At 38.4% G+C, this 15383-nt stretch overlaps 1 protein-coding gene across 2 annotated transcripts in view, besides 1 other annotated feature; it reads right to left on the bottom strand.

The window, feature by feature from the left end:
• The window catches only part of VPS13B (vacuolar protein sorting 13 homolog B), an 864307-nt gene that overhangs the window by 103837 nt on the left and 745087 nt on the right, over window positions 1–15383 (bottom strand). For both annotated transcript variants that reach the window (NM_152564.5, NM_017890.5), the window contains exon 40: window positions 6774–6970. In NM_152564.5, coding sequence (NP_689777.3) covers window positions 6774–6970 — 197 coding nt within the window. The remainder of the gene's footprint in view (window positions 1–6773; window positions 6971–15383) is intronic.
• Window positions 2182–3381: an enhancer, noted in NCBI's record as "MED14-independent group 3 enhancer chr8:100782591-100783790 (GRCh37/hg19 assembly coordinates)". NCBI's record gives its function as "activates an origin of replication core promoter dependent on BRD2, BRD4, P300/CBP and CDK7 cofactors, and independent of MED14, by STARR-seq in HCT116 cells {active_cell/tissue: HCT116}" and the evidence as "EXISTENCE:reporter gene assay evidence [ECO:0000049][PMID:35650434]".

The raw sequence follows: 15383 nt of genomic DNA, 5'->3' as shown, positions 1-15383 counted from the left end.
TTTTAACTGGAAAATAGTTCCTGGAAGCAAGACCTCTCAAATAGTAATAAACACAATTCACGATTCAGTAATTTATTCAAGTAGCTTTAAGTTCAGAGGGTTATTTAAGTGTTGTTTTTAGGATAGTGGAAATATCCTAGACAGTGAGAAGGATGGCAGGTGTTTTATTTATACCTTCATTTTAGCCAAAGAGTTACTTACCAACTGTCCTGAGTGACCTACAGAGGGGATCAATTCTTTAAACAAGGAGTGTTCAGTACATCTAGATGTAGACTGATCCTATCTTAATGGCACTGTGGGGACCTAGGCACAATCCCTAAAGATCCAGCTCTGAATGTCACTTCTCTATGGATCCCTTTATGGTAATAAAGATTTTATAATATAGGATAATATAGCATAGAGATTAAGACATGACTTGCTCCTCCTTGCCTTCCGCCATGATTGTGAGATTAAGCAGAGAATGACCAAGGTAGGAGAACCTAGAATAATGTATGCGCTGCTATCATTTATACTATAGTATTATGCAAGTTATTTCACCTGGCTAAGTCTCTGTATTTTTCATTTATAAAATGAGTACAGTAATTAGACCTACCTTTTTCAAGTATTACATGAGCTACTGCATATAAACTACTTAGCATGATGTCCACCACTTGATTAAAAACAAATGATGAAAAAAATCCATTCCTCTTTTTCTTGCGGGCAAGACAAGGTACCATACTGGCTACATAGGTTAATGTTAATTGATTATCTTTAGCTTCCTAAGAGGGATCTCACAACAGCATACTGGCATTCATCTCAATGGGGCACTGTCTCTCAACGTTGGTTCACATAAATTCTCCCCTACCCACTGCATGAACACTGCTCTGTCCATCCCGTGAGAGTGCTGAATGGCTGAGAGAGGACGCAGGAGAGAGGTGAGAGAGGATGCAGGAGTGTGTGCCTGTTGCACTGCATTTCTTCCACTCCTTACAATGGTTGTTTTCCAAATGTCTTAACCCTAACTCCAAATAACAAGCACACTTTTATTGTAATCCAGTATACACATATAAAACAGGGGAAAAGGTTTTCTGAAAATATGATGCATACTATTTTCTATTGTGATAATATATTAACTTATATAGCATAAAATTTATCATTTTAACCATTTTAAAGTGTACAGTTCAGTGACATTAAGTACATTCACATTGTTGTGCAACCATCACCACCATCCATCTCTAGAACTTTTTGATTTTCCCAAGCTGAAACTCCATGTCCATTAAACCCTCACTCCCTACTCTCCCCTCCCCACAGCCCCTGACAGCCACCACTATGCTCTTTATGAATTTGACTACTCTTGGGATCTCATGTAAGTAGAATCATATAATATTTGTCTTTTTCAAACTATTTTCTATTTTATTTTATGTTATTAAAAAAATTCCAGTTGTAACCAGCTATTTCATAACCCATGAATGTGCTCCAGTTTGTAGTTTGAAAAATAACCTTAAATGAGCCTTCAGGTAAAACACTCCTTTAAATCTAACTTAAAAAAAAAAAAAAAGGAAGAGTAATCTCCCAAGGTTCATAGAGTAGGCAATACGACATAGAGAGCTCATAAGTACCATCATCCAAGAACTCTGAGACCTGAGCAGCACCTGAGTACTTCAGGGACTGTGTATGCAAGAAGGACTGCATGGCAAAGGCCAACTCCCTGGAGGACTTCGTATACAGAGTTCAATCACCACCTAAAAGAAAATAGCAAAGGGCCTCAAAAGCAAACCTGGGGAAAAAATGTAAGTATTCCTTCCATTCAAGGAAGAGAAGACAAAAACTCAGCTTTAGCCTTAGGGAAGGGTAAAGGAAAGAATTTTCTGGATAAATCCTGGATTATACCAGTGTGTAACTAGAAACACAGGTGACAAAGCAGTTCCAAATGTCAAGATTTATGTATAAATGGCTTATAACACTAAATGAATTACCCAAAAATCTAGATACATCTAAAAGGGCAGACCCAAGTAGCCAAATGGAGAGAAACAATATCTGGAAGGCCACAGTCACTTTTTGGGAGGAGAGAGTTCAACCAGCAGAGAGAAAAGAAATGATTCAGGGACTTATTCATCATCACGCTTTCTCTGATTCCTCCACTGTCTATATACACAAGAATAAAGGTTTTGGGAAATGAAAAGGAGTTCTTCTTCACATTCACACACTCATATATACACAGGCTGTGGATCACTGTCTCAAAGATTCCCAAATATGAGTGGACAGTGATTTCTTTTATGAGACCTTAAGGGAGTAGGAAGAAAAAATATATAGATATATTAAAAAGCACTTTATACAACTCGCCAGAGGTTTAATTTTTATCACATGAAGAAAGAGCCATACACCCTTAAGCCATTTCTCTTTCCAAGATGCCTTCTGTCATGAGTCAGCATTTTGTGGGTAGAGATAAAAAGTCCTTACAAGCAATCTGCTCTCACATGCTTTAATATTGTGAGAAGATGACCATGAAATATGGACAGGAAAGTACCAAAGTCTTGGCACAGATCAAGAGTTTAACATTATCATCAAACAACTTATACAGAATTAACCAGACATACATATTGAGATCTGCACAGTTACTATTGTGTTATATAATAAATGTCTGTAATTTGTGTGACTTTCCACAGCCAAAATAAGTATTTCTGGAATTAGCTCTCTAGGGGTGAAGGTAAGAGGGAATAAATAAAGTAAAAATTGTTCTGATCCATCAGAAGACACCTGATTGATTTCAAACCCAGGGAACCTGCCAGGCTGGCCCAAGAGAGTAGGGCTCATGATTCCTTTTCCCTTTTGTTCCTCGCAGGGTTAGTCACCTGGTAAGAAGCTGCCAATTGCAAATAAGAGTGTGCACTTGCTGGATGTCTTCTGTTTGCTCTCTTGACCCACCTTCTACCATTCCCCACCTTCTTCTTTGCCTCCGGAAGGGAGCTTTCTGGACTGCACCAACAAGCTACTTTGTCCTCTGGCTTGTCCTCGGATTCAGTCAGTGGGAGGTACCCACAAGGTGACTTAGAAGGCAGAAGAGGAATGAGGTAAGGGTATGTATTTTCCCGGTTCCTTTGCAGCCAGATCTCTGTACATTAGCTGTGTTCCTCTACCAAACGTAGCTACAAACATCCTCGCTGAGTTAGAGTTTTGATAATGGCTCTATCACCTGGCTTCTTTTGGCCTAAGATTGGGACAGTTTCCCAGGGTTCCTAGCCCATACTTTTGCAGTTCATTAAACTTTCCCCAGTCACCCAGTCTGAGTTGCCATCTGTTTCCTGTCAGAACCTGACTGATAAGAGGTTTACTTAGGCTTTGGAAACAGGCAATGGGTGTGGACAAATACATACACGATGGGAGTAAGATAAACAGCTGAAATGGATAGCATGACCAGGGCTCCAGAGGGTGCATCCCTTGCCTCTAGTCCAGTGCACAGCAAATAGAAGGGGAAGGCTTTCAAAGGTCAGTACTATAAAGGTCAACATTTACTTCAAATGCTCCCTCCCAAAAACCATAATATGATCAAGCAAACCATTAGTTAAAGATATAGGAACCTAACTAATGACTCATTTTTTATTTTTTGAGACAGGGTCTCGCTCTGTCACCCAGGCTGGAGTGCAGTGGTGTGATCTTGGCTCACTGCAGCCTCTGCCTCCTGGGCTCAAGCAGTCCTCCCACCTTAGCCTCCTGATCAGCTGGGACTACAGGCATGCACCGTTTTGCTTGGCTAATTTTTAAATTTTTGTGTGGAGACAAAAGTCTCACTATTGCCCAGTCTGGTCTTGAACTCCTGAGCTCAAGCCATCTTCCCACCTCAGCCTCCCAAAGTGCAGGGATTATAGATGTTAGCCACTGAACCCACCCAATTATTGACTCTATTTTGTCTTTGGTCATTTGCACTGGGGGCTCCCTGTCATCCATTGAACTGGTTAGTGCCTATTCATTCCTTAAAGTCTCAGTTTAGAAATCAATCTCACAACACCAAATAGCATATTGTTGATGGAGCCAGGCCTTAAACCTAGGTCTTCACCTTGAAAGGTGGAATAGAGGTCTTCTACATCTATTAAATGCTATCTCTATTTACATATTTACGGTGATGCCATTACCACAGGAACATTAAAACTTCATCTCAATTATAGGCAAGAGGCTCTTCTTTTTAAATTAGGCTTCATGGGATATATTTTTGTGACCTTTCTTCCAGTAATGTCCAATAGTCTGATGTAAATCCTTCTCAAACCACTGAGACTATCCTTTATAAGACAATCTCTAATCATAAAAGTACCAGGTTTTTGTCCAGATTTAGATTTCTCTTGTGACAGAATATACTGAGGCTAACTGTAAAAGCTTTCTGTCTGCATGAAATATTGACATATTATCAAATCATTACTGTTTTCTTTCTAGAAATTGGATGAAACAAATATAATCCTTAATAGTGTTTTATTTTGTTGACTTTTAAACCAGCTCTTCTAATTTAATTTCATTAATATCAACTTCTATCTGAAAAATGATTAGTCTCAAACAATTTAAAGTGAGATAAATTGTGAAATATTAGGTAAGGTGAAAAATCCCTGGTGAGGACAAAGATCTGTGACTACAATGTCAGATGCTTGGTGAAAAACTGCCTGAATTTGATTATCTGCTTAAATTTCTGTTTCCTAAAGGCTCCACATTTCTATACTGCTAAGCTTACCACAAAAGTAATTTTTATAAATGTTTCAGATTCAGAGGCATTAGCTTTCTCTACAATGCTTCTTTCGATGGTGAAAATGTATTACTTCATAATTAGAATCAAGAAGTCATTTCTAACTTGATACTATTAATGAAACTCAGATTTAAAAAAATCAATTTAGTTATCCATAGCTCTATTTTCTGAGATTTCCTGGTTTCTGATGAGATAACCTGAACTTAGAAAAAGCAATCTTTCCATCCATGAAATAATTCATCACAGGATGGGTGTTCTTTTTATTGCTGAACTATATGCAGGTAAAATTAAAACACTACTTCTCTAATATATTTTCACTAATTCTACAATACTAGCTAAACTGTTAGGAAAGTAAATATTTTTAAAGAGCCCAAATGACCTAGAAATAGAATATATGAAATATAAAACACAAAACACATTATTATCAAGCATACAAAATAATCAATGAAAAAGACTATGAGGCTACAAACCAAAATGTTAACAGAAGTTATCTCCTTGTAATTATGGGCAGTATTGTTTTATTTTCCAAATGTTCTTCAATGAACATATGTTAATAAAAATAAATATTTCCAAAGAAAAAGTATTCACAATAATTTATAATAAAAAGTAGGAACTGGAATACAAAGTGGTGTGCTATGATTATAACCTTGTAAAAGCGTGTACACATATGGGCAAAAAGAACGGTAACAGAGAAAAGAAAAAACATTTGATTTGCAAGGTATTGGAATGGTGGATGGTTTTTTTTCTGTTACTGTCAGAATGTTGTTTCCAGGGAAAGAAGAAGGTATTACATAAAAGGAATAAGATAACAACACTAAGCCAGCCCATCAGGAGAAGTGGCACGTAGGGCATCCACAGCAATGAACAGCATAGCCTCACAGTACACATGATAGTATATGACCCAAGAAAGCTGTTCCACTGGTTGTGGTTTACTTTGTTTATCGTCTTTTATGGGGGCATGAGCAAAGGGACTTAGCAAATGTGTGTAAGCTAGAAGTGCTGAAGAATAGATTGCTGAAGCTATTTTTCTCTACTGTAAATTAGTGGATGTGTTAAGTAGGCAAAAACTGAAATGAGGATAATCTGGTCTAGAGATTTTTTTTGGTGTGTGTGACAGGGTCTTGCTTTGTCACCCAGGCTGGAGTGCAGTGGTGAGATCACGGCTCACTGCAACCTCACCCTCCGGGGCTCAAGGGATCCTCTCCCCAACAGCTTCCCAAGTAGCTGGAACTACAGGTGTGTGCCACCATGCTCAGCTAGTTTTGTATTTTTTATAGAGATGGGGTTTCACCACATTGCCCAGGCTGATCTCAAACTCATGGGCTCAAGCAGTCTACCCGCCTTAGCCTTCCAAAGTGCTGGGATTACAACTGCGAGCCACTGTGCCCGGCCAGCTCTAGGGATTCTTTATGGCCAGTGAGGCTTTATAGGTGGATAAAACTTTATCTGTATAAAATCCATTGGGTATGAGTTATTTTGGTTAGCTACACAAGTTTCTTAGTGTCTGGAGGACTGTCGCCTTTTTTTTTTTTTTTTTTTTTTTTTGAGAGAGTTGCACTTTGTCACCTAGGGGAGGCTTGTCTTTTAAAGTTTTAAAAAAACAATTAAGATGAAAATATTCCTAAAATTTACCTTTTAGAAGGAGACAATTCAATTTTTTTTTAACATTTCTTTTAATGCCCCAGGATAATCATTACACATATTGATTATGATGTCATTAAGCTTCTATTGAGGTGTGTGTATGACTGTATGCCTCTGTATTTTGAGGTTGAAGATGACTAGACTTTTTGTTTAACTTGCTTTTTTCCATTTTTTTCTTTTTATATTTAAGGAACAGGTTCTTAGTGAGGGCTCACAGAGCTGTATTATGAGTAAAAACACAGGATTTTGAGTATGCAGACTTTGAAACATCAGATTTTGTCTTTCTTTGTGGTTCTCATCTGTTGTTCAGAGAGATGCAGCTGCTAGACAGCTGAGATACAGTTAAGTGAGGGGTCACTAGATAGGAAAAGATGACTTATCATTGTTTCCCAGTGTAATGCTACCATATCATCTTTCAATGAATTACCTTTGGTCATCAGCTCCATTTTGACTGCTGTTCAAGACAATTCTCCAAAGATCTGAAGATACTAATTTCTTCTGGTCATTCACGAGATTGATATCCGGCAACTGCAGTTCACAAACTTTGCTTTCAGACAGATTAAATTCTCTAAATGCAACAAAAACCTTCTGGAGTTCATCCCAGTATTCCAAGCTACAAGGAACCTATGTTAAAATAAAAAAAATTTAGAAGTTGCAAATAGAAACTATGCTTTTATATTTGTTGAAATTCAAATTAAACCTTTATAAAAATTATAACATTAAGACCTTTAGAGGAGAATAAGGTTATAAAAGACAGTAGTTTAGGATTTCTTTTCATATTATTGTATATTCATCCTGTTTATTTTTAAAGACCAATTCAAGAATAATATATAAAAACAGCCAAAATTTTAAAAGTAATAATGGAGAACAAATTCTACAAGGTGTTAAATGTATTATAAACCCATAGTAAGTAAAAGATAAGGCTAGTGTAGTAACATACAAATAGATTAAAAGAATAAAATAGCAGAGAAAGGGCTAAGTACAGACAAAATCTTACTATGCAATGAAGGTGCCAGCCAGGCATGGTGGCTTGTGCCTGTAATCCCGGCACTTTGGGAGGCCGAGGCGGGCAGATCACCTGAGGTCAGGAGTTTGAGACCAGCCTGGCCAACGTGGTGAAACCCCATCTCCACTAAAAATACAAAAATTAGTTAGCCAGGTGTGGTGGCGTGCACCTGTAATCCCAGCTACTCGGGAGGCTGAGGCAGGGGAACTACTTGAACCCAGGAGGCAGAGATTGCAGTGAGCAGCGGTCACACCAGTGACTGCACTCCAGCCTGGGCGACAGAGCAAGAATCTGCCTCAAAAAAAAAAAAAAAAAAAAAAAAAAAGTAATGAAGGTGCCACACCAAATAAGTAGGAGAAAGACGGAAAATGAAGCTGCAAGAACTAACTAGTCACTTGGTAAAACCAAAGTGGGTCCCTACATCATTCTTTACACAAAAGTAAACTCCAAAAGGATAAAACTGCTGAAGGCTAAGAAGTGAAAGTGTAAGAGAAGAAACATGTTAATATTTTTAAAATGTTATAATAGGGTAGACTTTTGTATGTATGGCATGAAACCCATGATAAAATCAAATTTTAAAAAGTAAACTGGAATAAGACAGGTAACATTTGATGACAGGTGAAGGAATATTCATTCTGATAGGAGAGAGCTCTTACAAATCAATGAGAAAATGATACATAATCACAGAGAAAAGGTAGATTTTACAAGTTCCTCAACTGTGCCAAATGTCTACTGCAAGCAGAGCATCCCCCTGGGGGCACTTCTGCATCACGCTTGTGGGACTTGGGAACAAGGGGAACCAATGAAAACATGATGCTCATGCTGCTTGCCATGCCACAAGCAATAGACTTCTTTGCTTCTGACCAGGAGTCTTATTCCTTCTGCCAGCACCCATGAAACACTAACAAGATAACTTACTAGCTTGCACTGGGTAAAATCCCAGATCCTGACAGCAGTTAGATCACAGAAGAAAAAATATAACCAGCCAGTAAACACAAAAAGATAAAAAGATACTCAACTTCACCAATACTCAAAGAGATTCAAATTAAAGCAATAATGTAATATTTTATTTACTAACCTTTCAGTTTAAGAAGACTGATCGGTCTGAGTACTGTACAAGCATGAGAAAAAAACAACTTTTCTTTTATAGACAGAGTTTTGCTTTTTCACCCAGGCTGGAGTGAAGTGGTACGATCTCAGCTCACTGCAACCTTGGCCCCTGGGTTCAAGCAATTCTCCCACCTCAGCTTCCCGAGTAGCTGGGATTACAGGCATGCACCATCACGCCCAGCTAATTTTTGTATTTTTAGTAGAGAAGGGGTTTCGCCATGTTGGCCAGGCTGGTCTCGAACTCCTGACCTCAGGTGATCCACCTGCTTCAGCCTCCCAAACTGCTGGGATTACAAGCATGAGCCACCGCGCCTAGCCAAAACTTTTTTTTTCCCCTAGGAAGTATGCTTCTAAGAATTTGTTTTACAGAGATTCCAAAGCACAAGTGTGTGTGCACACATATATATGTATATACATATGTGTGTGTATGTACTTCAGTACTGTGTTTATTAATAAGAAAAGTTGAAACAAGTCGAATATCATCAATAGAGGATTGGTTACATGTAACATGCAGATCTATAGGATGTATTTCTACACAACTGTTAAAATGAATAAAGTATATCTCTATGCCAGGTGTGGTGGCTCACGTCTGAAATCCCAGCACTTTGGGAGGCCAAGGGGGTGGATCACCTGAGGTCAGGAGTTCAAGACCAGCCTGATCAACAAGGTGAGAAACCCCGTATCTACTAAAAACACAAAAATTAGCCAAGCGTGGTGGCAGGTGCCTGTAGTCCCAGCTATTCAGGAGGCTGAGACAGGAGAATTGCTTAAACCCAGGAGGTGGAGGTTGCCATGAGCCAAGATCGCGCCACTGCACTCCAGCCTGGGCAACAGAGGGAGACTCCATCTCAAAAAAAAAAAAAAAAAAAAAAGAATCTCTCTCTATATTAACACAAAAAGACATCTAGGAAATATTATTTTGTTTAGGATGAGAACATGTGGGTTAATCCTATGTGTCTTAAAAAATAAAAGAGTGGCTCAGATGTGTTTCCCTTTTTGGAAGCATTCCCTAATTACCATCCTCAGAACTGATCACTGCCTCTCTTGTGTCATGTCTATACCTAGTACACTACTCTAACACAGGACTCACTATATTTTGTAATTACTTATTTATATGTTTGTCTCCTTTAGTTGACTCTAAGATCCTTGAGGGCAGAAATGGCACATTATTTAAAAAAATATTACTAGCACCTAACACAGTTTTGAGGACAAAATGGGATCTCAAAAAAGCTTCTTTAATGAACAGATTGCTCCCTAACCTTTCTTTCCTAAATAAGTAATTCTCAATCTTTCAACAGGACTAAATGTTGAAATAAACGTTACCTCCACCTATAATTAAGTTTCTTTTCTTTAAACAGTGACTTGAGCATCCATATATGATGAGATGCTGTAAGGACGAGGGGAGAATGGATATGCGGAAGAGGGTAAATGTGATGAAATAGTAGCACATATTCTGGTTAGTGATAAGTGACATATCCATGGCATTAAACTTTTAGCCACCATTTCTTGAAATTCTCTCTTTTCTTGCTTTCCATGACATAATTTTCTCTAACTTCTTTTCTCTGGGTTATTGCTCCTATATTCTCTCTCAGCCTGAAATACCTCTATACCCCCTACTTTCTCACTGTCTCAGGTCTAAATCCTTCACATCAATCCATAACCAAATAGAATACCACCTATCTCAGCCTTTTCACCTCCCCAGATGGAAAAATCCTTTCTCTTTTCTGAACACAAATAATTTTTTTAAAATGGGAATGTCTTTTACAGCTCTTATCACTATATACTTCATGTTATAGTTATTTCTGTATGTGACATCTTCTCTGGTGGACACATTCCTTGAGGGAATGATTTCTATTTGGCTAAGCTTTGAATTTTCACAGCACCTGGGATAGTGAATACAGCAAATGTTCAAAAAGAGTTGCTGAATAAATGAATGAATAATTCATGAATCAATGAATGAATATACACATTCTGGGTGGTTCAACCCATCTCTGGCACATTAAAGATTCTCCACAAAGAAGTATAGAAGTTGAAAGTATGAACTTTGGATCAGATCTATCGGGATTCAAATCCTAGCTCCATTAACTTTTTCTTGGGCAAATTAATTTTTCTCTTCTTTTTTTTTTTTTTTTTTTTTTTTTTTTTTGAGACAAGGTCTCACTCTGTTGCCCAAGCTAGGGTGAAGTGGTGTGATCACAGCTCACTGAAGCCTTGATATCCCTGGCTCAAGCGATCCTCCCACTTCAGCCCCAAGTAGCTGGGACCACAGGCACGTGCCACCATGCCTGACTAATTTTTGTATTTTTTATAGAGACACGGTCTCCCTCTGTTGCCCAGGCTAGTTTCGAACTCCTGGGCTCAAGCAATCCTCCTACCTTGGCCTCTCAAAGTGCTGGGATTGTAGGTGTGACCCACTGTGCCAGGCCTAAATTAAATTAATTTTTCTAACACAAGTTCCCATATGTGTAAAAGGGGGATAAGAATATAGCTACCCTCATGAATTTTCATAAATATTAAATGAGACAAAGCATTTTATTTAATATCACATAGTAAGAGCTTAAGAAATGTTAGCCATTATTTACCCCTCTCATGCTCAAAGAACACTTTGGAAGCTTATATGTTGTTGCCAGAATCAGGTAAGTTGTAAGAGTTCTGATTATTAGATTTCTTAATAATGGGTTGGACTTCTTGGAAGAAAATAATAAACTATGAATCTGGATGTTCAGGAACACTGTACCCACAGTTCAATATTATTTTCTGCTACATACCTGTTAAAAGTGTGGCCCTCCATATATGCTATGACTTCAGAGATAAAGGAATATATCATTGCTTAACTACTCTCTGGACTGCCAGTGGGTCAGCCCTGTGGTTTAAGACACTCATAACAACCAGCGGTGGAAGAGATATGGTAACTGGAGTATAAATCCCTAGAGAGACATATAAAAATCTCAGTGGAGGCCAGTCACAGTGGTTAATTCCTATAATCCCAGCACTTTGGGAAGTGGAGACAGGAGGATTGCTGGAGCCCAGGAGTTTGAAATCAGCCTGGGCAACTCGGTAAGACCCTGTCTCTACAGGAGGAAAAAAAATTAGCTGGGCATGATGGCATGTTCTTGTGGTCCCAGTTACTTAGGAGGCTGAAGTCGGAGGATCGCCTGAACCCAGGAGGTTGAGGCCGCAGTGAGCCATGATTGTGCCACTGCACCCAGCCCGGACAACAGATGGAGACCCTGTTTCAAAAAAATAAAAAAAAAACCACAAGCAAACAAACAAAAACTCAGTGGACAAGGGAAGGGCAAATGAGTTGAGAAAAAGCATATTAATAATTTAATGATATAGTCACCTTGCTGTGCTATCAAATATCAGATCTTATTTATCCTATGTCTGTATCAAAACATTACGTGTCCCATACCATAAATATATATGATTATGTACCCATACTAACTAAAAATAAAAAATTAAAGAATGTGTTTATTATAAAATGTTGCATAAACACAAGTACAACAAAGAATATAAAATTGCCTATCATCCACCCAAAAGAAAAAGCATATTAATATACCTATTGTTTTTGGTAATACAAATAACGGAATATAAAGTTCAATGTAATCTTTTTGGTGGAGAGGGTATACAGAAAATATGCAAAAAATACTTGTTTCCAGCATCATCTCCTGAAATTCTGCATTAAAATTAATATATAATAGCTTATAAAAATTAGCTGGCACATTGGAAGGCAGAGTAGGACCTTAAGGAAAAAGCACCACTAAGTTTTTAAGTACAAGGCGAGGGTTGGAGTAGGTACATAATATAAGGCAGTCCAAGATGGGAACTGCTGTGGGAAGCCATTAGGTAGCCTAGGGGCAATGAATGTGGACTGCACCAACAGTGGGGTTTAGGGAAGGAGGAATTCTGGGAGCCTAAAGTAAGAGATGTGGAAGAATGCCAAAGAAAAACTTTATTTAGTTCACAACTTGTGTGAGGCTGGCTCTGTAGTTACATACTTCAGCTGGAATATTCTCAGCTACTCTGAAAATTCAGAAAACAATAGATTACTATGGAGATACATACCAAAGTATGTCAGTTATGCGTCAGAATTTTCCTTTATGTGCCCTATTTTACTCTGTTAACAAAGGCATATTAATAAATTCACACCAAATGAAACCCCTATTAAAAATTTAAGTTGTATGCCTTTAAATACATGTATAAAAGTCACGTACTTATTCTTTTTTCCCATTATAAGAATATATAATCATCCTTCAGTATCCATGAGGGGTTGGTTCTGGGACTACCTACAGATACCAAAATCTATGGATGCTCAAGTCCCTGATATAAAATGCTGCAGTATTTGCATATAACCTATGCACATCCTCCCATATACTTTAAATCATCTCCAGATTCCTCATGATACCTAATACAATGTAAATACTATGTAAATAGTTGTTACACTGTATTGTTTAGGAAATAATGACAAGAAAAGTCTGTAAATGTGCAGTAGAAGCACAATTTTCTTTTCTTGAATATTTTTGATTGGTGGTTGGCTGAATCCATGGAGGTAGAACTGATGGATACAAAAGGCTAACTCTATTTGTCCTTAACACATCGAAATAAAACCTAAAAACAACACTGAGTACAATATTTTAAAGATTTTATTCAAATACATATTGAACCATAAATTTACTTTTAAAAGCATGTAGACATCATCTTTACATTATCTTATTTCTCCATCCTACAAAAAAAAAAGTCATTGGTGTCACACTTCGGATAAAATCCTGGCCCTACCACTTAAATCACTGCTCTATGACCTTGGGCAACCTATTTAATGATTCTGAGCCTCAGTTCCCTCACTTGTAAACAAGGATAATAAAACCTGTATTGTTTTTAGGCCAAATTAAGGATTTTTGACTTTATTTTCTTTGAAGGGCTGAAAGCAAAGAAGTGATGTCAAATTTGTATTTTTCAAAGATTTTGGATACTATAGACAACGGAATAAAAAGAGGCAAGTGGCCGGGCATAGTGGCTCATGCCTGTAATCCCAGCACTTTGGGAGGCTGAGGCAAGTGGATCACAGGGTCACAAGTTCGAGACCAGCCTCACCAAGATGATGAAACCCCGTCTCTACTAAAAATAATAATAATAAAAAAATAGCCAGGTGTGGTGGTGGGCGCCTATAATCCCACCTACTTGGGAGGCTGAGGCAGGAGAATCACTTGAACCTGGGAGGCGGAGGTTGAAGTGAGCCGAGATCATGCCACTGCACTCCAGCCTGGGTGACAGAGTGAGACTCTGTCTCAAAAATAATAACAATAATACAAAAAAAGAAAAGAAAAGAAAAAGAAAAAAAGAGACAAGCGTGGATGCAATAAGACCAATTAGGAGGTCTAAGCTAGAAATGTTGATAGCTGAGAGTATGGTTGGTGGCAACAGAGTAGTATGTAAGAGATTCTTGGGACATACTAATTAATAAGTCTTATTGATTGATTGGCTGAGAAGTGAGAGGGAAGTGCCAAGAATAACTCCCAGTTTCCTAGCCTGAGCAGCCATATGGATGCTGATGTCATTTACTGGGATGGGTAAGACTGATACGTAGTATATGTGGGTAGAGGAGGAGAGATCAGAAGTTCATTTTTGGCCATTCTGAGCTGCAGGTACCAATGAGCCATCCCAGCAAAAATACTGAATAAGGGGTTGGCAATTCTGGAGACTGGAAGAGGGAGTTAACTGTGCTGATACACAGCTACAGTTCATTCAGCACTAGCCTTTTGTCAGGAGTGTATAGTGGAAAAACAGAGGGCAATGAAGTTTAGGTTACTTATTTGTAAGAAGGTATTTTAAATGATGAACTAAGAATGCAAACTGGTTAAAAGAGGATATGAAAATGGTGAGCTGATGAAAAGAGGACATCAGAGAACTACAGTTTAATGAATAGTTTAATGAATAACTGTAGTGGGGGTTTTTGAATAAGCAGGACAGAGAGCTATGAAAGACTGTGAGGGAGCTTAAGATGCTGGAATAATGATTTAGGAGTCACAGCAGTTGTGGATGATGACAAGATCCAGGGCTTGTGCATGGGAGTGAGTAGTTAAATGGAGTGGAAAAGATTCCTAGAGATATGAGATCAACGTAGGGTTTTGGCTGGGTAATTTATGGCAGTGAAGAAAAAGGTTGGCAGCCATGGGGTAAGGACTTGTGAGAATGGGAGAGAATGACCAAAAAGTTAGTAGATGGCAACAACAAAGAGGGATGAGGAGAATATAATTAGAGAAAATGAGAAGCAAGGGGACTTGACAAGAGGGTTGAAGAGTAAAGGCCAGTGGCACTGGTGAGCAAGGAGAACACTTATCCTCCTGGCCTTGAGACAAAAAGAACGTGAGAGCCTCCACATCAGAGGGTCGCAATGGTGAACTAGGTCCCAGGGGACAGCAAAATTTTATTCAAAGTAATGGCACAGAAGAACTTCTGGAAGAACAGGTGGAGGTTTAGGGGAGAGTTCATTAATCAAGGAGAAGATGATCCAGAGGGCAAAGTGGAAGGGCATGGAAGGCTGAGGAAGAGGGAGGTTGGTAAGAGTAGGTACAGTATCTAGACAGGAAGAAATGCATCTTATAGTTTGGGTGGTGACTAGAAAACAAGGAAGTGAAGCATGTGGTGGAACTGACACCTGATTTAGGAGGAGTAGAGACAATGGCTGTGGTTCTAAAGGTAACCTACTACTACTTCTTGAGGCCTGGCTTGCATGCCATGTGTTCTCAGATTAGTATTCTTAAAGATAACAATGCTACCTCCTTTAACAGTCTTTTATTCTACGTTCTCAGACTAGTATTCTTAAAAATAACCATGCTACCTTCTTTAGCAGTCTTTTATTCTAAAAAGATCTTGTTTAATATACTGGTACTTCCACTCAAATTATTTTGCATTCATGCCAAT

Source organism: Homo sapiens, chromosome 8 (assembly GCF_000001405.40).
Source record: "Homo sapiens chromosome 8, GRCh38.p14 Primary Assembly".
NCBI lineage: Eukaryota > Metazoa > Chordata > Mammalia > Primates > Hominidae > Homo > Homo sapiens.
This window is presented reverse-complemented; position numbering and strand designations above follow the sequence as displayed.